Genomic DNA, 22,869 nt, shown 5'->3' with positions numbered 1-22,869 from the left:
GGTCCCCTCCCCCAGGAAGCCTGCCTCTCACCCTGATCAGGCCCAGATGGTTGTCATTGTGGGGAGGGGGTAACAGTCCGGGCTGGGAGCTGGGAGGGAGGGCAAGATCAGAGCAGAGCTGAGGCCTTGTTTTGGGTTTGAAATGCCCAAGCTGTTAATTTGAGAATAATCAATGCTAATTTGCACATATCTGGTTGCTACAGCAGGTTATCTATTTCCCGTCAAGATGTCCCAGAGGCTCCTGCAGCTCTTCCCGCCGCTGCCCACCCCGTCTCCCGCTCCCCACCCCGAGGTGCTGTGGGGCCAGTCCGACCAGGGGAACAGCAGCTCAGCACCCTCCCTCCAACCTCTGAGTCCACCCCAGCTGCACGGTGGGCTGGAAGAACTCTAGGGCGCAGGAGCCAGGAGCAGAGGAGTGAGGGGGCTAGCGGGGCAGCCAACTGAGCCTAGGAGGAGGAGAATTAAGCAAAAGTGCAAATTACCCAAACCCGTGATTAACATTTCTTCCAAATCTGCATGAATATTAAAGCACAACCCACCCTGGTCCCCACACAATGAATTCTGCATGAATCTTAAGATAAATCGTTTGGATAACTTAGCGGCAGCTGTACTCCCCTGCTGCCAGCTGCCTCCCAGAATCATTTTGAGGCGGGTAAGGGGAGAGGAGGAGAGTGTGGGTGAGTGGTGGGAGGGCCAGGAGAGAGCCAAGTGGTGCCTTTTGGACTCCTGCGCTCAGGCAGCAGGGCCAAGCAGGGCATCGAGCTGAGGGTGACCAGTGAGTTTCGCCAAGCCTTGGTCCCGCCCAGTTGCTGAGGCTAGAAAGGCACAGGGAGGAGCCGCGATGGAATCTCTGCCTGGCCGAGGACCCCATTCTTGGGTTTCTCCCCATGCTTGCTCTGTGCTTCTCCTAAGAAGCAAACCAGCCCAGCTAGCCCTCAGCTCATGCCCCACCATTTTGGAGGTCAGGGTTTTCAACCAGGGGGTACTCTCCCCACCAGGAGATGCTTGGCAATGTCTGGAGATGATCGTGACTGGGAAGGGGTGTTTCTGGCATCAAGTGGGTAGAGGCCACAGATGCTGCTAAATATCCTACAGTGTAGAAGACAGCCCCGGCCACCCCAACAGCAAAGAATGATCTGGCCCGGAATACCAGTCGTGCTGAGGCTGAGAAGCCCTGCCCTCGGGGTGCCTGCCCCACCTTGGCATTTTTGGACTCCTCGGAGGCATCTAGTCTTCCTCCCAACTTACCCTGGGGCTAAAAGTGAGTTACCCAGGGCCCTGGGTGGGGGTTGGGAGTCAGGCTTTTGAGCTTCAGAGCATGGCAACATCATCGTCATGACTGTCGTTGTGCCAGGCAGGGTCCCGGCGGGAAGCAGATGGTATCCTTGAGGGGTTCCAGCAAAGGCAGTTTACTAAAGAGGCCATTTATAGATTTGTGAGAAGAGTTAAGGAAACCAGCTCCCCTGGTGTAGGATCCAGGGGCCAGCAAGAGTGGGGAGGCTTTGCCACCTTTAGGTCCAAAGGGACAAGGAAAATAAGTGGAGGTATCGGAGCCTGGAGCCATGGAGAGGGAGCCACCCAACAGGAACCATGGCCCTGGTAGAAACAGCTGCTCTCAGAACAGCAGCAGGGAGGGAGGGAGAGGGTGGAATCAGTACCCCCATCGCTCCCTCCTCCTGCCCTCTGTCTCCTGCCAGTGCCTCTGATAGGCCAAACCCAATTAGAAGGCAGGAGACAAAAGGGCCCAGCTGACACAGCCTGGAGAAGTCACCCTTCCAAGGCACAGAGCAGAGGGGAGAAGAGAGCATGGTTTGGCAGGGCAATGGGAGGGGACGATGGGGGAGTCCAGTGGAGTGCAGCCAGCACAGTCATTTCCATCAGTACCAATGGAAGCTGCCTACAGGGCAGCCCCGGGAACTGCTCCTAGGAGCTCAATAAGTGGCACAGTAGTTAAAACCCATGGAACAACCCGTGACCAGGAACATGAGTGGGTCAGTACAAAATGCCTTTTGGAAAATTCTAGAGTCTTCCAGCGGTAGAGATAGGGTTAAAGTATTAGGATTCCCTGGGGAGCCAACCTCAGTGAGAGCTTGGGTAAGCCAATGGCATGCTGGGGTTCAATTTACAAAAATGCAGTTTAAGCCCAAATTTGCAGGAACACATCCATTATAAAAGGAATTCCACTTAGAGTGTCCAAAGAAACGGAAGTCAACCCCAGCCTGTCAGAAGAATGGACACAGACTGGTGGGATTGCTTCTCTGGAAAGGACTTGGTGATGGTTGGATGTAGGGGTGAGAAAAACAGGAGTCAAGAGTGAACACACGAGCTTCGGTCCTGAACAGTTGGGTGACTGTGGTGGTGCTTCCCAATATGGGGAAGACTGGGAACCCGGTTCTGTTAGACTCCAAAGCCTGGCTCAGGGTAGACAGCCACTTTCTGTTCTTGCCAGGCTGCTGGTCAGTGTCCCGGGACTGTGGTCAGGTCCTCTCCTCTTTCCAAAGATGCACTCTGTGTATCTTCTCCTCTCTGGCTACAGGCGGGATGGCAGCATTTGTGGAAACTGCTGGGGGACGTGAGGAAAGGGGTTTGGCCCAAAGAGCATGAAAGGCAAGTGGACCAGAGGGACTGCCTCCTGTTTCTGCTTTGAAGCAGCAGCCTAACAAGAAGTAGACAAACAGGAGCGCTTCTCAGCTCAGCAGGACGATGGGGGAAGCGAATTAAAATCCCATTATGAGAACACTGCGGAGGCTGCTGGCAGCCTGGCTGATGATCATTTACACCAATGTACACACACGAAAGCCTTCTTCACTGTGACTCAGGCCACAGAGGCAGCCTTGGGAAGAATTCTGAAGTCCACCTGGCTTTCTCACCTCCAAGCTTGTGTCCTTGGGCAAGTTGCGTAAAGTTTCTTAGTCTCAACTTCTTAGCCTCGGCTGTGCTGGAAGGTGTCCGTTTACTTTGCCGACCACCCTCCCTTCTTCTCCACCTGCTCTGATTGGGAGGCTGGTCTCTGAGGACCTTAGCTCTGGCTTGCACAGATGTGGCAGTGACAGAGCTCAGAGGGTAAGATGAGAGAAGTGACGACATTGGGTCCTGGCTCCTTCCAGGCCAGGCAGTGGCTTGGCAGTAGCTGTCAAGGCCTTCCCCTATAGTCCCCTCTGTCTCCAAGCTCTTCCTTTACCCACTCAGTCCTAGGGGCATACTGGCTTCCCTCTCTGGCTGGGCGCTGGGTGCGACACCCACATTCCTTGGATCTCCTTAGCCTGTTACACCATTGTCAATGGTTCTTTCATCAGGACTCTGTTAATACAGAGTCCAATTAGTCCATTTTCATGCTGCTGATAAAGACATGCCATGTGAAAGCAGAAGCCCCTTATAAAACCATCAGATCTCGTGAGACTCATTCACTAATTCACTACCATGAGAACGGTAGGGGGGAAACTGCCCCCATGAATCAATTATCTCCCACTGGGTCCCTCTCACAACACGTGGGAATTATGGGAGCTACAATTTAAGATGAGATTTGGCTGAGGACACAGCCAAACCATATCAGACTCTCTCCCATCACACCTCTAAGTAGGCCAACTGCTCCCTCCCAAGACCTCGGTAGCACACCTATTGCATAGAACTGAAGCCATCATGGAATGCAACAACTCATAGAAAGATGCAGAGTGCAGGGCCAGGCTCATAGCAAACATCGGAAGGCAAGAGGCCAGGTTGAACAGTGGTTAGCAGCTTAGACTGCCTGGGATTTGTCCAGCTCTGGCTTGGCTAGCTGTGACACTGTGGGCAGCTTGCTTGTTCTTCGTGTGTCTTGTCTACAGTTTTTCCTCCATAAAATGATGATGATGATGATTGATGATGATAACCCATGCATGATAGGGTTGCTGTGAGTTCAAATAAGTAAATTTGTGTGGTTTTTAAATGGCACATCACAAGCCATCAGAAACATTAACTATTACTTTTTACTGTAGTAAGTTCTCAAAAAATCTGTTTTCTTCCAGGCCACACAAAAGGCTTAGTCAGCAGCCAGTTTATGCATCCTTGAATAATGTGATTAAGGCACAATGTCTATGGTTAGAAGGACTCTGAAGCCATCTTTCTCTTAAGGGAGGTCCAGGCTTCCCAACTCCTAGATTAGGATACTCCTCCCTGAGAGCTTCAGGAAATACTTTTGAATCCAACTGTGGATATTTCTGGTCCTCAGTTAAACTATAGCTTGCTGAAGGGTTTGTTTGTTCATAAATGTGTATCAAGGGCCTGTTATAGGCCAGGCACTGTGCTGAGCCTTGGGAGTGATGTGTTAAACTTACAAGGACCCTCCATTTGCATTGGGTTTTTAACTTAGAATCAGTAATAGCTCTTGAGCCACAGTGAGCCAGATTTAGAACAAACATAGGAGAGAAGGCAAGTGTCAATAGCTCTGAGGCTCTTGGCTGCTGGAAGAGTTTGGAAGGGCCTTATATAATCAGCTCTATTCTATGGATGCCAAGTACCATGCCCATCTCCTTTTGTTGGACTTTAGAGGAGAGGGTTTGGCATGATCCTGGCCAGAGGCCTCCCTTTTCTGCAGAGAGGGTCCATGGCTTTTGACTAACACCAACGCCATCGTCACTGACACCACTATCAACACTACCATGCCTACCACCAACACCACCATCATTTCCACCACCACCACCATCATTACCACCACCATCATCACCACTATCACCATCACTGCTAACACCACTACCACCATCACCATGACCACATCTACAATCACCACCACTGTTGCCTCCATCATCACCACTAACACCACTACCACCATCACCACCATTACTACTATCACCATCATTGCCACCACCATTATTACCACAGCTACCATCATCACCACCACCAGCACTATCATCACCACCACTACCTCCATCACTACTATCACCACCAGCACTACCACTATTACTAGTATCACCATCACCACCACCACCATTACCATCACCATCAACATGACCAAAATCATTACCATCACCATCATTATTACCGCCACCAACATCACTACCATCACCACCACCATCACTACTATCACCATCACCACTACCACCATTATCATCACCACCATCATGACCAAAATCATTAACACCATCATCACTACCATATCCACCACCGCCACCACTATTACCACCACCACCACCACTGCTACACCACCATCACCACCATAGCCATCACCACTACCATCACCACCACCACCATCACTATGATCACCACCATCACCATTATCGCCATCATTACTATCACTACTACGATTTCCACCACCACTCACTACCATTCACCATCATCATGGCCATCTCCACCATCACCATCACCATCACCATCATGACAACAACAATACCAGCAAAACAGCTCTTCCCATTTTGGTCATTGCCTTTCCAGAACAAAAGACAGCACAGGAGGGAGGCTTCTCTCTTAGGTTCCTTGTTCTTATGTCAAAAAATAGGCTTTTCTGTAGTCCTCAGCAGGAGAATAAAGAGCAACATGTACTCCAGATAAAATCTTGAAGTGAGGCATCCAGAAAAGAGGTCAGGCTGGTGTCATGAATAGTTAAGGTCTGCCTGAGTTAATTAGGCCTAGAATTTCTATTACGTTCACTCTCAGTTTCACACTCTTACCTGTGCTCCACACCAGACGTATCATGATCATGGACGTTGAGGTCAGGAGAACCTACTCCATGCTAGCTGTGTAGCCTCAGGAACATTATTGAAACTCTCTAAATCTAAGTTACTGTTTCTATAAATGGGAATAAGAATACCAGCTTCATAAGATTGTTGTGAGAATTAAAAAAGAGATAATGTCAATAAATCCCTTGGTCTAGTGTCAATGACTACTATGAACACATAGTAAGTACTGATTTGATGTCTCTCTGTTACCCTATTCCACCTCCTCATCCATCTGTCCATCCATTCATCCATCTATCCATCCATCCACCCATTGATCCATCAATCCATCTATCAGCTTATCTATCTATAGATCATCTTCATGATTATAGCATTATTGCTTGGTTTGGGTTGCCTGTAGGTATGTAACAAACAAACTCAAATGTAGTGGTATGAAACAACTGTTGATATGCTTTGGATTTTTGTCCCCACCCAAATCTCATGTTGAATTGCAATCCCCAATGTTTGAGGAGAGGCCTGGTGGGAGGTGACTGGATCATGGGGGCAGACTTAGCCCTTGCTGTTCTTGTGATAGTGAGTGAGTTCTCAGGAGATCTGGTTGTTTAAACATGTGTAGCACCTCCCTCTTCTCTCTCTTCCTCCTGCTCCAGCCATGTAAGACGTGCCTTCTTCCTCTTCATCTTCCACCATGACTGTAAGTTTTCTGAGGCCTCCCCAGTCATGCTTCCTGCACAGCCTGCAGAACCATGAGCCAAGTAAACCTCTTTTCTTTATAAATTACCCAGTCTCAAGTGGTTCTTTGTGGCAGGGCAAGAACAGACTAATACAACTATCATTAATTATTACTATTCCTCATGATTTTTGAGGTTAACTGGTTTTAGCCAGTCAGTTATCACTTGGGTTCTCTCATGTGGTTTTATTCCGATGGTGGCTAGAGTCATCTGAAAGACTTCCTCACTCTCATGTCTGGTAGTTAATGTTGGCTATTGGCTGGGACCTTGGCTGGAGCTGTCTGACAGGACACTTACACATGGCTTCTCCGTGTGGCCTGGGGTTCCTCACAACATGGCAGCTGGGTTCCAAGAGTAAGCATCCCAAAAGAGAGGCAAGTGGAAACTGTGTCACCTGTTATGACCTAGCTTTGGAAGTCATGTAGCATCATTCCTGCTATACTTTGCTGAAGGAGTCACTAAGGTCTGATTAGGTTTCAGGGAAGATGTTGACTTTCCTTTTTGATAGGGGAAGTGGCAAAGTCACATTGTGAGAAGACCATGTAGGATGAGTGATATGGTCAGAGCCATTTTTGTAATAAAATTTTAACACTTTGATAGTGCCATTAAGCCTTGATATTTTCTTGTCCTCAGGTATTCACCCTCTCGGCCACCCTAAGCAGTCTTTTCTGGATCAGATAATGTGCTTTCTTTGCCCTTTAGGAAATCTAGTGCACTAGAAAGAGCACTGTCCTGGAAGCCCAGATTTCTAGTTCCTTGACCCAACTCTACTCTTTGTAGTGCTTTTGAGCAAATTTGGAGCTAACCACTGCTCCTTCCTTCAACTTCCGTGCCTTCCATGCCTTCAGGGCTCTGTAGCTTCAGAGGGAGGAAGATGGCATATCACATCTGATTTTTTCACTCTGGTTATCTCAGCACTTCTCCTCCATCCCAAAGAAGAAAATGAAATCATTTAATAGACTTTGGTGTTGGGATGTCTGCAGCCAAGACTTTTCAACATCAGGTCATCTGGGCTAAGTGTCATTCCCAATAAGCTCATCCCTGATCCACCATCCTGGCAGCTCAGGGTCTCCCAAGAGTATCTTTTCTTCTGTCTTCACTTTATTTAAGACTGCATAAAAATTAGCCTAAAATGGAGTAGCTTAAACCAACACACATACAATATCCTCTCACAGTCTAAGGGTCAAGAATCCTGGTGATCTTTGCTGAGTGCTGTGGCTCAGGGTGTCTCTCCAGGCTGTAATCAAGCTGTCAGCTAGGGATTCAGTCTAATCTGAAGTCTTGGTTGGGGAAGGATTCACTTTCATGCTCACTCATGTGGTTGCTGGCAAGCCCTAGTCCCTAGAGGGCTCTTGGCCAGAGGCTGTCCTTAGTTCTTTGCTACATGGGCTTCTCCATAGAAAAGATTACAACATAGCAGGTTGATTCAACAGAGAAAGTAAGTGATCAAGCAAGAGACTGAGAGCAAGCCAGAAGTTACAGTGTTTTACAGCCTAATCTTGGTAGTGACATCCCATCACTTTTGCTATATTCTGTTTCTTAGAAATAAGTCACTAGGTCCATCCCATGCTCAAGGCAAGAGGATTACACAAGAGCGTGAATACCAGGAGATGGGAGAACACTCAGAGCCATTCTAGAAGCTGCCTGCCGTACTCATCCTAACGCTGGGTTTTGGGGAAGACAAATATGAAATTCTCACTATTTCGCTAATGGTAAAAGTGGTTAGGGGTTCACGCCTATAATCTCAGCACTTTGGGAGGCCGAGGCGGGCGGATCACGAGGTCAGGAGATTGAGACCATCCTGGCTAACACGGTGAAACCCTGCCGTCTCTAATAAAAATACAAAAAATTAGCCGGGCGTGGTGGCAGGCACCTGTAGTCCCAGCTAGTCGGGAGGCTGAGGCAGGAGAATGGCGTGAACCCAGGAGGCGGAGCTTGCAGTGAGCCGAGATCACGCCACTGCATTCCAGCCTGGGAGACAGCGAGACTCCGTCTCAAAAAAAAAAAAAAAAAAAGTGGTTAGGGGTTGTTCATGAATTTTCACAGCAACGTTATTCAGAATAGCCAAAAAAAAAAAAAAAACACCCATATGTCTATCAACTGATGAATGGATAGATATGATGTTATATATCCATATTATTCAATAATTGAAAGAGACGAAATACTGATACGTACTAGAACATGGATGAACCTTGAGAACATTGTGCTAAGTGAAAAAAACCAATCACAAAGGACAGCATATTGTATGGTTCCATTCATATAAGATGTCCAGAATAGACAAATCTATATAGATCAGTGGTTGCCAGGGGCTGGGGAAGACAGAGGCAAAAGGACAATATAGTGGGTGGACGTGTGTTCCCCCAAAAGATACGTCCATATTCTAACCTGAAGAACCTGTGAATGTGGACTCATTTTTGTAAGATTCATAGCAGATATAATTAAGTTAAAGGTATCAAGATGAGGTCATCTTAGATTTAGGGGGGACCCTAAAGATGAATTCATCCTAGATTTGGGGTGGACACTGCAGATGAGGTCATCCTAGACTTAGGGTGGACCCTAAAGATGAGGTCATGCTAGATTTATGGTAGACCCTAAAGATGAGGTCATGCTAGGTTTAGGGTGGGCCCATTGACATGTGTCCTTATAAGGAAAAGGCTGAGAGAGATTTGGTCCTCAGAGGCACAGGGGAGAAGGCCGAGTGAAGACAGAGGCACAGGTTGGAGCGATGCAGCCCCAAGCCAAGGAGTGCCTGGAGCCCCCAGGAGCTGGAAGAGGCAAGGAAGGACTCTCTCCTGGAGTCTTTGGAGGGACCGCGGCCCGGACCACACCTTGATTTCAGACTCTGGCCTCCACAACAGACAGAGGACCAAGTTCTGTTATTTAAAGGCACTGAGTTTATAATTAATCTGTTACAATTGCCCCAGGAAACTAGTACAGGGGTGATGGCCAAGGGGTGCAGGGTATTTATTTGGGGTAATGAAAATGTTCGAAAATTGATCATGGTGATGTGTGTACAACTTTGTAAATACACTAAAAGCCATTGAATCGCAAATTTTATTTTTATTTATTTATTTTTGAAATGGAGTCTCACTCTGTCGCCCAGGCTGGAGTGCAGTGGTGCAATCTCTGCTCACTGCAACCTTCGCCTCCTGGGTTCAAGCGGTTCTCCTGCCTCAGCCTCCTGAATAGCTGGGATTACAGGTGCCCACCTCCATGCCCGGGTAATTTTTGTACATTTTTAGTAGAGATGGGGTTTCGCCATGTTGGCCAACTGGTCTCGAACTCCTGACCTCAAGTGATCTGCCCACCTCGGCCTCCCAAAGTGCTGGGATTACAGGTGTGAGCCACCATGCCTGGACTGAATTGCACGCTTTAAGTGGCAAATTGTATGGTATGTGAATTATATAAGACTGGTTAAAGAAAAAGTCTAGGGGATTTGCCCCTCTTACAGCCAGGTAGGGAAAGAGGCAGGACCAGAAGGTGGGATGGGAAGGTGGGTTGCTCCACGCTGCCAAGGCACTTCCCCTGGACAGCAGCACTCCTGTCCCCAGGGCCATCACCACACAAGCAGAGGTGACGCGTGCAGGTGGTAGGGAGCCTGGTCACGTGGCCTCCCCTGCCCCTCTGTCTCATGCATGTGATCATTCCCTCCTGCTGGTGTTTAACTTTATCTTTTCCCTACCTCAGTTTTCACGCCTCACTGCTCCCCACCTTCCCTTTGTGAGCTGTCTTCATCCCTGTACCCCCTTCCATCGGCCCCTCCAAATAGCAAACCTCCAGGGGCAGAATCCATTTCCAATCCCTTAGATGTCAGGGGAATTGAAAGCACGGCAAATATTTCCAAGATCTAAATTACACCGACCCCGGAAGGCTGAACTCGCAGTATAATCCAGGTTATGAATTGTAAATCAGATGCCATGCAAAGTACTCGCGAAAATTCAATAAAGCTTTCTTTGCTCCCAGCACAGCAAAGTTGGGCCTAGGGAGGCAGGAGGAGGCATGCTGGAACTTGGAGGAAAGGAGACCTGTGACTGGGGAGGAGTGGGTAGGGAGTGGGTGGGCAGGGTGTGGGGGCTCTGACCCTGCTTGGCCAAGACTTCTCAGGGGGAGGAGCTGCCCATTTTCCTGTTGGAGGAGTCAAGAGGTCTCTGTGGCCATTGGATAACATGCCCTACAAGATTTAGTCCAGCCTTGCAAATAAGAATGATACAGTTACCAGCCCGTCCAAGCTAGGGAGGCCGTGGAAGGAAAGGTGGCCTTCTAGACTACTCATGTGGCACAGACTGTCAGGCTGTATGTACATGCATGTATATAGTCAGAGGTGGAATGGATCCTGATATTAAGATGTTTTTTTTTTTTAATCCCTGCTTTAGTAAGAAAGCAGCCAGAGAACTCACTTTGGACCCACTGATGATAGGTACCCCTAGAATGGAGAAAGCAATGCACACTGGAATCTCTCAAGAGTTTTACTTGGAAGGGAGGCTGAAGAGCAAATGGCGCCACTCTATGGCTGGAAGGGGATTGCATAGAAGCTTTTATGTTTCAAAACCTGGCAATCTCTAGAGAAAGAAATGCGGGTGGGACAATGGCAGGTGTTCACTTCCAACCCTGGAGGTACACTGAGGCATGGCATCTCTACCCTGTCTGAATTGGAAGCCGGGGGTGCTGGGAGGGTTACATTTTGTATGGTTACATCCCTGGGGCACCAAGAAGGTAAATATTTACAAAAGCACTCAGCCTGCTAATCTCAGGTGTTCTCCCCTCTGCCTTGGTCTTCTGGCCATTAGAGAGTTTGAAAACATCCCCCTCACCCAAAGATAGATGGGAAATCAGAAGCTGGTGGAGACTAATTTTCCCTGCTCAAACTTGGTCTCATGGGCATCCTACCACATCTGCATAGATGACCCCTGTGGGCAGCCACTGACTCATCTCATGCACTGAGGCCCACCTGCCAGGCACTGTGCTGGCTGCCAGGGAGACAGGGCTAGGAGATGAGGCTCTTCCCTTGAGCAGGTTGGGTGGTGACGGGTTGGGTCTTTCACCCTTGTCTCCCAGATGCTCAGAAGACCAAGTTCCAGGCACACACTATACCAGCCTTGGGGAAAAGGCCAGGTGTTGCCCTTGGTTACTGCAGGTCTGTGGGGCTGGTGTAAAGAAGGTCTGGAGAAGACTTGAGCTGCTTGTGTTGGAGGGAGTGGGGGTTGCCAACCCTGGGCTTGAGCAGCCCTGAATGTTCCCAGCCTATTAATAGTCATGATGAGGAGGATGTGGCAAGTCTCCCCTTTAGGTGCTCAGGGCTCTGCCAGGCAATTAAAATATAGCCCTGCTCATGACTTTAATGAGGACACCATTAATATTGGGGGCAGCCTTAGCTCTGGGCTGTGTCCTGCAGGAACAGCCTCATCAGTGTAGCCTGGCCAGGAAGAGCTTAATGCATCTTTTTGTTCTATAGAAAAGTCTCTCTCTTTCTCTCTCCCTCTTTGCCTTCCCCCACGCCCTGCCTACCCTTGAAGAACATGGAGAAAGTATAGTGCAATGATATGGGCTTGAGCCTCCTCTACAAAGCCAGGGTGCATGTAGCTTGGCTTTCTAGCACCCACAGACCTTTGGCAAGCACGGTGGGAAGACTCCGAGATGGTCCCCCGCCCTGATTCCCACCTCGTGGTGCTCATGCCCTTGTGTTAGTCCCCTCCCCTAGAGTGTGGGCTGGACCTAGTGACTTGCTTCTAGCCAACAGAAGACAGCAAAGGTGAGGAGGTGCTCTTCGATGACAGGCTGCATCAGATGACAATCTCTGTCTTGTTAGATTCTAGTGCCTTCTTGGCTTGCCACTTTCATGAAGCAAGCTGCCATGTTGGAGAGGCTCATGTGACAAGAAACTGAGAGTGGCCTCCAGCCACCTGCCAGCTAGGATCCAAGACACTCAGTCCCTTAAGGAACTGAATCACAATGACCACATGAGCTTGGATGTGGATCTTTTCCCCAGCTGAACCTTCAGATGAGACCCCAGCCCCTCAATTGCAGCCTACGAGAGACCCTGAGACAGAGGACAGTTGAGCTCTGCCCAAATTCCCAGCCCATAGAAAGTGTGAGATAATAACTGTGTTTTAAGCCACAGTTTAAGTTTTGGGATAACTTGTTACTTAGCAATAGATAACTCATATAGCAAGTTATTTAACCTTTCACTTTTCTATTTCTCATCTTAAAACAGTTCTAATCCTACTACCTTTCAAGAATGCGGAGAAGTTTAACTGAGTAGATGCATGGAAGGTGTGTTGTGTAGTGTTGGGCACCTAGGAAGCAAGAAATAGCAGCTTCATTATTAATTTACATCATCCTAAATAGTAATGGCTGTTCTGGGCCACGGCATTTAGAGCCCCTGTGCTGGCTTGCCCTTAATACACACGCATTTATGCAGCTCACTCCCTTCATGTCCAGCCCTGCCCTGGCTGCATTCAGAATAACAATGAGATCCTAAATAATGCCCCAGTAATAATGTCTGCTTACATTTATAGAGAGCTTTATAGTTTACAAAGCTCACTTATATTGCATTGACTCAAAAGGCAGAGTGGGGACTAGGGGCCTTTGTTTTCTTATTTATTTGGGGTGTGTCTCCGGGGAAAACAGATTCCCATTTTCCTACTTTTGGGTGCCCTAGCCTGGTTCCTGTACTGCCTGGATCTTAAGCATTCACCGAAGGTTACAGCTGGAAGTTCCTTTAATTTTTTTTAGTTTAGGTAAAATTCTCATAGCATAAAATTAACCATTTTAAAGTGTATAATTCAGCAGCATTTAGTACATTCATCACCTCTATGTAGTTCTAAAATATTTTTTAAGCACCCTAAAAGGGAACCTGGGACTCATTAAGCAGTCATTCCCTACTCTCCTTCCCCCCAGCCCCTGACAACCACTAACCTGTTTTCTGTCTCTATGGATTTGCCTATCCTGGATATTTCATAGAAATGGAATCATAAAATATTTTTGTGTCTGGCTTCTTTCACGCGGCTTGTTTTTGAGGTTCATCCGTGTTGTAGCCCATATCAGTGCTTCATTCTGTTTTATGGTTGAGTAATATTCCATTGAATGGATAGACCACCTTTTGTTTATGGAAGGGGCCTTTTAAGAGAAAGAAACTGAGGCCTGGAGGAGGGACTGGCCCAGGTGAGAGGAGCCATCCATGGCAGAGTCAGGGCCAGGACCAGGAGCTGACATGGCATGGGGGTAGCTGTCCATCATATCTGGGGTTCCCTCCTTGCCCACTGCTGAGCCAGGTTCACCCTTTGCTGTTAAGTGGGGCCAGTAGCCCATGGACAGAAGTGATATCAGTCACTTCCAGGCCTGGCCCCTCAATCTCTCCACACTGCCCCTGAGCTCATTGGCCAGCTGGATGTGAATGATCCAGTGGAGGGCCCTGAGGCTGGGGGTCAGTGAGCCATGAGTGGGAGGAAGCCTGGGGCTTGAATGACTGTATGGAGTAAAACCCATTGAAGAGCAGGTCTCTTCAGAGGAGTAAGCAGTAAACCTTTGTGACGTTCAGTTGCTGGTTAAAAAAGAAAAAATTCAGCTCAGTTGTTTTCATCTGGGGGTGATTTTGCCTCCAAGGAAACATTTAGCAATGTCTGGAGACATTTTTGATTGTTATAATTGGGGGATAATTCTGGTAACTAGTGGGTAGAGGCCAGGGATGCTGCTAGACATCCTATAATGCCTGGGACAGGCCCCTGCTCCCTCCAACACAAAGAATTGTCTGACTCCAAATGTCCATAGTGCCGAGGCTGAGGAACCCTCCCTTAGCTAGTACGTCTGTCTTCCAGTTCTAGCTCCTGCTATAACACTTTGCTGCCTCCCAACTTCACCTGAGTTACGACCACTGAAGACTCGCTTGCCGACCTGCAGATGTCTGTCCTTGCCTAATTCGTGATCTGTCCTCTCTGCCTGTCTCATCTCCCATCCACTGGGATCTGTCTCTCTCAAGCATCTCACCTGCCCCTCTACTGCCTGAGAGCTGCTCTCTGCTGTCCCTATCTGGCACAGACTTCCTGCGCTTTGTACAGGTGGACATACTGGGGCCAGATTCTGGATTTCCTTCTCATGGAGTCTTCCCTAGCCTTCTGGATTTGTCACCTTACGAGACATGTCCCCAAGCCTGTGGCTTCCTCTCACAGAGGACTCTCCAGCTCACAGCTCCTCTGGTTTCTCCTGGGCCCCAAGGTGACCATGTGGGCTGCGTCTAGTCCCATCCACTCCCAGCGGGAAGCTGCCCAAGGAATGTGTCAGTGGAGCTCCTGCTTCTGTGCCACATTGACAACAGCTGATCCAATTTTTCTTAATTAGTACGTTTAATTATTAGTAACATTTTACTTAAGTAGAATTAATTACTCCATCGCCAGCTCTGGCCAACTATGTCTTCTCACCATGGTTTCCTATTGATATTCTTCTATTGAGGCCACATTTCCCCTCTCCCTCCCAGGGATGATCTCCTGGCAAAGACTCCTGGGAATAAAATCTCCCACTCCATGCATCTGTTGCGGACTCCAGCCAAAGCATCACATCGAGTCAGAAATTATGGTGGGTGTGGCTGAGCCCCAGGTGGGGACAGAGGGGCAGCTGCTCAAAGTGATTAGTGTCTCTATTCCTCTGGGCTGAGTCTAACCACTGGAAAAATCCTTTCTGCCTTTGGCTGGAAGGTTCCAGAACTGGTATCCAGCCAGGAGCATGATGAGGAGGAAGAGCGTGGAGTCCATCCCACCTTCCTCAGCTCCCTGCTTCAAGGTGGCCCAGGGAAGAGGATAGAGAGGTGGAAGCACTGGTCCCCATCCAGCCAAAAATTTGGATTTTCCCCAGGGGCTCCTGCCTTTGGATTCAGGCCCCCCACAGCGCAGGAGCTTCCCTGGGGAACAAGAAAGAGGCACTACTCAGAGACCAAATCAACTTGCATTTGCTTCTAGGTGTGCCGTTGAACAGAGCTCTGATAGCTACCTGAGCTAGCCGGTCAGGGAAGCTGCTTAAACCAGAGTTCTTAAATATTCCACAGAACCTGAGTCCCAGGAGGTGCTCTGGGACAGAACAAAGGATGGGGCAGATCCAGAGTTGAGTAAGTTTGGGAAGTGTTGTGTTGTCTACCTGCCTCTGAGTCGCTGCTGATTCTAGCTTGCTCATCTTGTCTCATCACACCAGAACTCCTGGCCTTGGGCAGGTCACCTCCTCTCTGTGTCTTGGCTTCCTGAACTGTAAAATGGGGATAGCAGTATGGAAATGAGTTAGTATTGGAACAGTGCTGGGCACATTGGGCCACAGGCAACATGGGCTGTTCTTATTAAAATCAAGATGATGGAGGTTCCAAGAAACCCTGGATCAAAATAATCTGTTTAATTTTAATTAACCCAAAGTTCCCCAAATTTATTTGACTGCAAAATTGTTTCAGAACTTCAGACCCCTTGTTCCTTGGGACACACTGTGAAAAAGGCTGGTCTAAATACTCTAGGGTTGTGCTTTCCTGGACGGTGCCTGGAGAGACCCCACAACTTATGGTACAAGTGCATTTGGGGGCTTTGGCTGCCTGACCCCTCTTCTTGGTTGGTGTTTCAGAAATGCGGGTCTTGGGCTGGGTACTGTGGCGCAGGCCTGTAATCCCAGCACTTTGGGAGGCCGAGGCGCGTGGATCACCTGAGGTCAGGAGTTTGAGACCAGCCTGACCAACATGGTGAAACCTCGTCCCTACTAAAAAAAAATATATATATATATATATGTATATATATATATATATATATATATATATGTATATATGTATAAAATTAGCCAAATGTGGTGGTGCATGCCTATAGTCCCAGCTACTCAAGAGGCTGAGGCAGGAGGCTCGCTTGAACCTGGGAGGTAGAGGTTGCAGTGAGCCGAGATTGCACCACTGCACTCTAGCCTGGGCGACAGAGTAAGATTCTGTCTCAAAAAAAAAAACAAAACAAAACAAAAAAGGAAATGCAGGTCTCAGGGGGCTAAGATGCTCCCTGTGATGTTTTGTGCTACTTTCTCAGGGTTCTTCAGCCTTTACCTTGTGCTGGTGTCATGTCAACTCAATAAACAGTTTCGGAGGGGTCATGGGTCAAGTCTACAGTGTGGCATTCTGACAGTTCCAGCTGTTAGTCTCTAAAAGCCATGTCTCCTGCTTTTCCACTTTAATACGTGCATTGAGAGCTATGGGGCATCTCCTTGAGTCTGCGTCCAGGCCTGGACAAAGAGTGGACGCATGATCCACAGCGCAGACAGCCATGCAGAAGCCCAGAGGACTCCACCCATCTCTAGTCCTGTCTGGATCAGACGCACCATTTACAGGAAAGGGCAGGTGGCATGAAAGGGGTCCCAAATTGGAAGTTGGAAACCAAGGTTCAAATTCTAGCTTATTAGCAGCATGATCTTGGATGAGTTGCTTAACTCTGCGGATCCAACCTAGAAAACTGGGAATAACTCTCTCCTTCCTGACTCCCCCACGTGGTGGTGTGGAAGATCAGTTCACATGCTAGATGGCAAAGTGTCTTGTCCTGAGTAAAATGCCATGATGTGATGCCTTGGCCACTGTATTCATCTATTTCATGTTGCTATAAAGGAATACTTGGGGCTGGGTAATTTATAAAGAGGTTTATTTGGCTCATCATTCTGCAGGCTGTGGAAGCATGGCACCAGCATCTTCTTGGCTTCTGATGAGGCCTCAGGAAGCTTTTACTCATGGTGGAAGGCAAAGTTGGAGAAGGCATGTCTCATGGTGAGAGGGGAACGAGAGAGAGGGGAGGAGTTCCTTAAACAACCAGCTCTCCTGTGAACTAGTAGAAGAAGAACTCACTCATTACCACAGAGAGGGCACCAAGCCGTTCAGGAGGCATCTGCCCCCAGGACCCAAACACCTTCCATTAGGCTCCACCTCCAACATTGTGGATCACATTTCACCATGAGATTTGGAGAGGACAAACATCCAAACCATGTCAGCAAACCCCTCCTCTCCCTTCCCACCCTCCCCTGGCCTTACCCCACCTGAGTCAGGCACGGTGAGCAGGACCAAAGCCCAAGCAGTCACAACAATGCGGGAATGAACGTTATTATGCGCTGTGACGATATTTGATGAATTCATATGCGCCTAGGGGAGCAGACTAAGTAGGTGAATAAAGTGAGACTATTCTCTGTGACAATCAATATTCCTTCAATTGAACCATCTCTGCAGATCTGACATTTTGATTTTTCTTTTTTGGACACATTAACTGGATTTATGCCTCCATATGGTGGAGACGGCAGGGAAGACGACTTGGAGACAGCGCAAGTAGAGAGATATGGTGGCGCCTCCACAGGCACCTGGGTAGGTGGGTGGGAGCAGGTGCATTTGCATAAGACCCTGGCTCAGTGGGAGCCACTGCCCCAGAGCACTGTGCTCACCTGGCCGCTGCAGCTCAGAGCTGGGAGGCCCCACCTGCCTGTGGTTCTTTCACAAGCAAGCTGAGAAAGGAGCCAGCTCCAGCTCTGGGAGTCCTTCTGCCCTGGAAGCCTGACCCAGGCTCCCGGAACACCCACTCAGCTCTGGACAGAACGGGGGCATGGTGGGGGCAGATGACTTCTTCAGGGCCCTCCCAGGGTCGACGTGAAGCCGACAGGCTCTGCTGACTGCTTGGTTTCAATTTCTGGCTCTGCCATTTGCTCATAAATAGTGCCAGGTGAGTGATCTTGGACAAAGTCCATAACATCTTTTGTCCCAGTGTACTGATCTGCAAAATGGAGCTGATGATAACACTGACTTAATAACTTGAGTACCTTTAGCTGCCAGGCATTCGTTTCAGAGCTTTACTGAATCAGTGTACCCAACTGTCACAATAATCCAGCAGGGTGGGTACTAGAATAGTCCCATTTCCAGGTGAGAAAACTGAGAGACGCAGCTATGCAGTTTAGGCACATGAGGGTTTGAAACTCAGTTCTGTCACTTAATAGATGTGTAAGTCAAGATTCTTTATGAAAAAATAAAAGTACAACTCAAAGGAGCTTAAGCACCAGAAGGATACAGAGATACTGTCTTTGGTACCCGGAAAAGGATGCTGAGGTTGCTTGAGGAATCCAAGGGAAGAAAGGCTCTAGAACCTTCTAGAACCTCCTAAAGGTTCCAGAGCCATAGGGGCTAGAACCCACCCCCAGCCCCATCTGCAATCTTGCTCTGTCATTGCCCATCATTATTTCTCTCTGCTTTTCTTTCCAGGTTGTTCCGTAAGACAGGATGGCACAGAGCTTTAAGCAACAGCTCTGGCATCTGACTTCCGTGTTTGCATCTGGCTTTGAGTGTGACTTTGGACAAGTTCCTTAGCTGGCCAGATACTCTTGTCCTCATCCATAAGATGGAGCAACAACGAAGCCTTTCTCATAGGTTATTGTGAGGATTGAATGAATTAGTATATGCCAAGCATTTGAAGCAGTGCCTGACATGTAGTAGATGCTGAGTAACACTGGGGATCTGCCTTTTCTTTTTCCTCTATGTGACTGGCAGCCTTAGCCAGACCACATCAGCTGAGATGATTTTCTCTGTAAGTTACCAGGATCACCTAGATCTGGCCAAGGACTTGCCCCTGTAAGGAAATTTGGAATAAGCAAAAAAGATCACTAGGTGTCGCCGATGGAAAACTAGGTTGTTTTGAGCATACCTTTGCATGTTATCTGATTTTAGCCTTTCAGGGTCTTTGAGCTATTTTATGGCTCTGTAGGTTGTACATAACTGATAGCAATGCAAAATAATTCTTGTCTATAGACATGCAAATAAATCCTGTCCAGCGGTTCAATTGACTACCCTCTTCCCTAAGGAAAAAGCCAGTTTCAGTCTATTTGTAAATTCATTTCCACTTTCCTTACTCCCTATAAATTTCTGCTTTTCAGATTTCTCCTTTGTTAACGTCTGCCTGGTTCCCTCATTAAGTCAAATAAAATCTTTAACACGTTAAAGTATGAGAGTCATGATCTCACCTGTTTTAGGAAAATTATCTTTTAATACTTCTGATAGGAAAGTTTCCTAAGCAGACCAAAAAGTAGGTACCACGGTCCCGTCTCCTAGTGGTGTGACCTTGATCCAGCTATTTTTCTATCCTGGTCTCAGTTTTCACATCTATGAAATGGGAGTAACATTATACACCTAAGAGTACGCCTGAGTATTTCTAAGAACTATATGGAAAGCATCCAGCCTCCACCTGGGCACAGAGAAGCTGCTTAAGGAAAAGGAGCTGGCATTGTTGCAGGGATGGTGATGTTTAATCCTGGTTATTGGTAACTCAGTCAGCAGAGGTAGCATAGGTGTCGAAACATAGGGAGAAGGACAACAGACAGGATGTGCTTTCTAAGGCTAACATGGATGGGAACAGAGAGGAGAGGAGACCTTCCTGGGCCGAGCTGCCTGTCACCTACCCGTGCACTCAGCACCTCTGCAGCTGTCACTGGACACATCCAACCCAGAGTGCAATTGACATGGGAAAAAACTGCACATGTAGACGTTTCAGTGTGGTGAGAGTATGTTGGCATGGAGATGGCTGCGTCTGCCCTCGTCAGGATGAAGGAGGGGACGGTCAGTGAGGTGCCAGGAAAAGAAGAGAAGTGCAAATCTGGGTGTGTCGGCTTGTTTCCCGGGGAGGTGTTGCTTTGCCCTGGGCAGATGTGATCATCTGGCTCTTTGTTCAGCATCTTCTGTGCTGCAACTCTTAGCTAGTCCCTAGATTATTCATCAGCCATGCAACCACTTGGTTAGCTTGAGTCTGTTCCCTCCACCTGGAGAAACCTTGGTGCACTCATAAAATGGGGTCTGCCCTGCTCAAAGGAAGAGCAGGCTGTGTGCTGGTTGTCAAATCAGGAATGTAACTGCTTTGAGGCAGCAGTAAAGTGCTAGACCAGCCTTCTAGATCTAATACATAGTCCAGCAAATTTTATCTCTAACTGTTCCTAGTTTTCACTCTCCCTGGCTTTGACCTGAGAAAGAGAGCAATCGTTTGAAAAGTATTAATGAGACTTTTCCCTTTGTTTCTTAGCCTAAATCAGCATCCAGCGGCCTTGAGGAAAAAGACTGAGGTTGCTACAGAGGAGAGCAGAAAGAAGAAGGGAGCTAACGTTCAGCTTTTGATATTCAAAATGAGATTTCTTGGCAAAATAATAGGAGAGGAAAAAATTTTTCCAAGTTTCTTTAGCTCCTATTTAACAGATCAAGACTGGCTTTGATGTGTTGCTCCAGTTCCCCTACCCTCTCCTGCCCTGCTTAGGCCTTGCCTCTTGGTTACATAGAGGGAGCAGTTGTGGGGAGGAAGAGGCCACCTCTGCTGGTCTACAGTCAAGGTATTATCTGGGGCTGGGGTCTCATCTGAAGACTCAACTGGGGAAAGATCCACATCTAAGCTCATGTGATTGTGGGGGAGGAAGGGAGGGAGAAGGATAGAGAGGGAGGTGCTGTGCTTTCTTCCCTGAGCCTTGGGAGGTGGGAGGTCTGGAGGTGGCCTTGAGACCAGCCTGCTAGGAGGTTATGGGACCTGAGGGGCAGGGGAAAGCTTTTGCCCAGCTACAGGTGGAGTGTGGTCACATCTCACATGCTCAGCCTGCTTGGGCTGAAGGAGGCCTGAACATTTCCATCCCCAAGCTGACCTCAGTTTATACTTGTTAGAGTAGCTGACGGATTGCTGAGAAGCTGGCTACTGGGGAGGACAGTCATTGTGGTTAGTCGTCTTTTTTTTTTTAACAGGTTGGGCAATGTTGAGGTCATCCTGCAAAAAGCCTGGGGTCCTGCTCTCCTAACCTTCAGCACCCCTTGAGTGTGGTGGAAGAGGGCTTTGAGTCTTGAGCAGTCAGAGAAACCACGTTGTGACTTGCTGCAAGGGCAAATGACAAATGATGGCCAGGCAAACCACCTAGGGACTTTGTCAGGCAAGACACAGGACTGTGGAAGTCACAGGAGGTATGGGGCAGCTGTCCCTCCTGGCTGGAGAACACAGCCAGCTATGCTCCTCCCCACTGACACCCAATCCCATGTGGCACACATCTCAAGGTCTGCCCTCAGTCCATTCATCCACTCAGGCTCCAAGAGACTCAAACCCAAGTGACTGAATTGGATGGAGATTAATGCATGGGGTTGCAATCAAGTACTTTCCTCCTCACCCCCACTGCTTTCTCCCTGCTACTTAGCTAGTGGGAGTTTGTGTAGACAGCACATCTCTTATAGGCAATAAAGTACTAGTGTGAGGGATTTTGTGGGCTGCTCCACAAGGCCTGTGATCCTCCTCTTACTATCCCCACCCCGATGTTTTTCCTTTGCTCACCAGGGCTGGCCAGGAAGGCTGCCTCTTTCAACGTCCCCAAGGCAACCACTCTATGTCAGCAAGGACTCCTGAACCCATGGCAACCCACCAGCTGCTGCTCTGGGAAGTGAGACCTTACCAGCTTGCTGCCTCCCCAGCAATGCAGCTGCCCTGTTGGTCAGGACAACCTCTCAGGAGGGTATCAGGCCCTGGTGTACAGTCCTTTCTTCTAGAAAGAGACAAACAGTGCAATCACCACAGCCTCCCACTTCTTCTTAGACAGATCTCACATCGGATTCACAGGGGCTTCCTGGGAACATAATTCTGTTGAGCCTTAGAAATCAGGTAGGATTTTGACTGATTTGGGAGGTTGGTTAATTTTACTTTTATTTTGTTCTCTACAGCTGCTGTTAAGCCTGGCTTAGGGGTCCACCCTTTCCCAGCCCCCTTCCCTTTCTTTATAACCTGGATTTTGCACAATCTATATCTCTCTATATCTCTGCATCCATCCATCCATCCATCCATCCATCCATCCATCCATCCATCTCCCTCCCTTTGCCCATTTGTCTCTTTCTTGATATAGGCTAGACTTTCCCAAAGTAATTTCAACAAAAAGTAAAGGAAAAAATCAAATGAGATGCACACCTTTCTCTCCAAGCCACAAACAGTGCATAACATCATCAGGTAGTCAGGCTTCTGAAGGTTCTCTACACACGCCTGATCTCTCCAATAGCTAAGGCTCTCACTTTCAGTGTGGTTAGTGGTTAGGGAAATGGACTTGAGAGCTGGACTGCCTGGGCTCAATTCTCAGCTCTGGTACTGGTCTCATGGCCTTGGGAAAGTGTTTTGTTGTTGTTGTTTTGTTTTTACATTTCTCTGCCTCAGTGCTTCTTCGGTAAAATGGGAATAAAAAGAGTAACTGTCTCATAAGATGACTGTGAGAATGAAATCAGTGAATTAATATGTACAAAGAGCTTAAACATCACTTGGAACATAGTAAGTGATATATGAGAGTCAGTTCTTATGACTAGTACTGGGCACATAAGGTGGCAAGACCCCCTTATCCCCATTTTTAGTTCTTGGCAAGTCCCCCTTTGACTCCAGGTTGCTAAGCACAGCTATGCAGGTTGCACACTACATACCCCATCTCCACAGACTCACTCACTCACTCTTCTCCTGTGCAGGGAGGAGTTAGGGTGGCGTTTC

The 22,869-nt window shown here is 48.2% G+C and overlaps 1 long non-coding RNA gene across 2 annotated transcripts in view, besides 2 other annotated features; it reads left to right on the top strand.

Annotated features, from left to right (window-relative positions):
- LINC02074 (long intergenic non-protein coding RNA 2074) overlaps nucleotides 1-19,339 on the top strand; it is a 50,789-nt gene extending 31,450 nt beyond the window's left edge. Inside the window, exon 4 of one of the 2 annotated variants that reach the window (NR_184084.1) lies at nucleotides 17,036-19,339. This is a non-coding gene — a long non-coding RNA (long intergenic non-protein coding RNA 2074). The remainder of the gene's footprint in view (nucleotides 1-17,035) is intronic. The other variant, NR_184085.1, reaches the window with a different exon arrangement.
- Nucleotides 427-926: an enhancer, noted in NCBI's record as "H3K4me1 hESC enhancer chr17:72076663-72077162 (GRCh37/hg19 assembly coordinates)". NCBI's record gives its function as "activates a minimal SCP1, AML or CMV promoter by ChIP-STARR-seq in naive H9 embryonic stem cells {active_cell/tissue: H9 hESC(naive)}" and the evidence as "EXISTENCE:reporter gene assay evidence [ECO:0000049][PMID:30033119]".
- Nucleotides 927-1,428: an enhancer, noted in NCBI's record as "H3K4me1 hESC enhancer chr17:72076161-72076662 (GRCh37/hg19 assembly coordinates)". NCBI's record gives its function as "activates a minimal SCP1, AML or CMV promoter by ChIP-STARR-seq in naive H9 embryonic stem cells {active_cell/tissue: H9 hESC(naive)}" and the evidence as "EXISTENCE:reporter gene assay evidence [ECO:0000049][PMID:30033119]".
- Nucleotides 19,340-22,869: the final 3,530 nt, after the last annotated feature.

This window comes from Homo sapiens, chromosome 17 (assembly GCF_000001405.40).
Source record: "Homo sapiens chromosome 17, GRCh38.p14 Primary Assembly".
NCBI classification, from domain to species: Eukaryota; Metazoa; Chordata; class Mammalia; order Primates; family Hominidae; genus Homo; species Homo sapiens.
The sequence above is the reverse complement of the archived record's forward strand: the minus strand, read 5'-3'. Positions and strand labels throughout refer to the sequence as shown.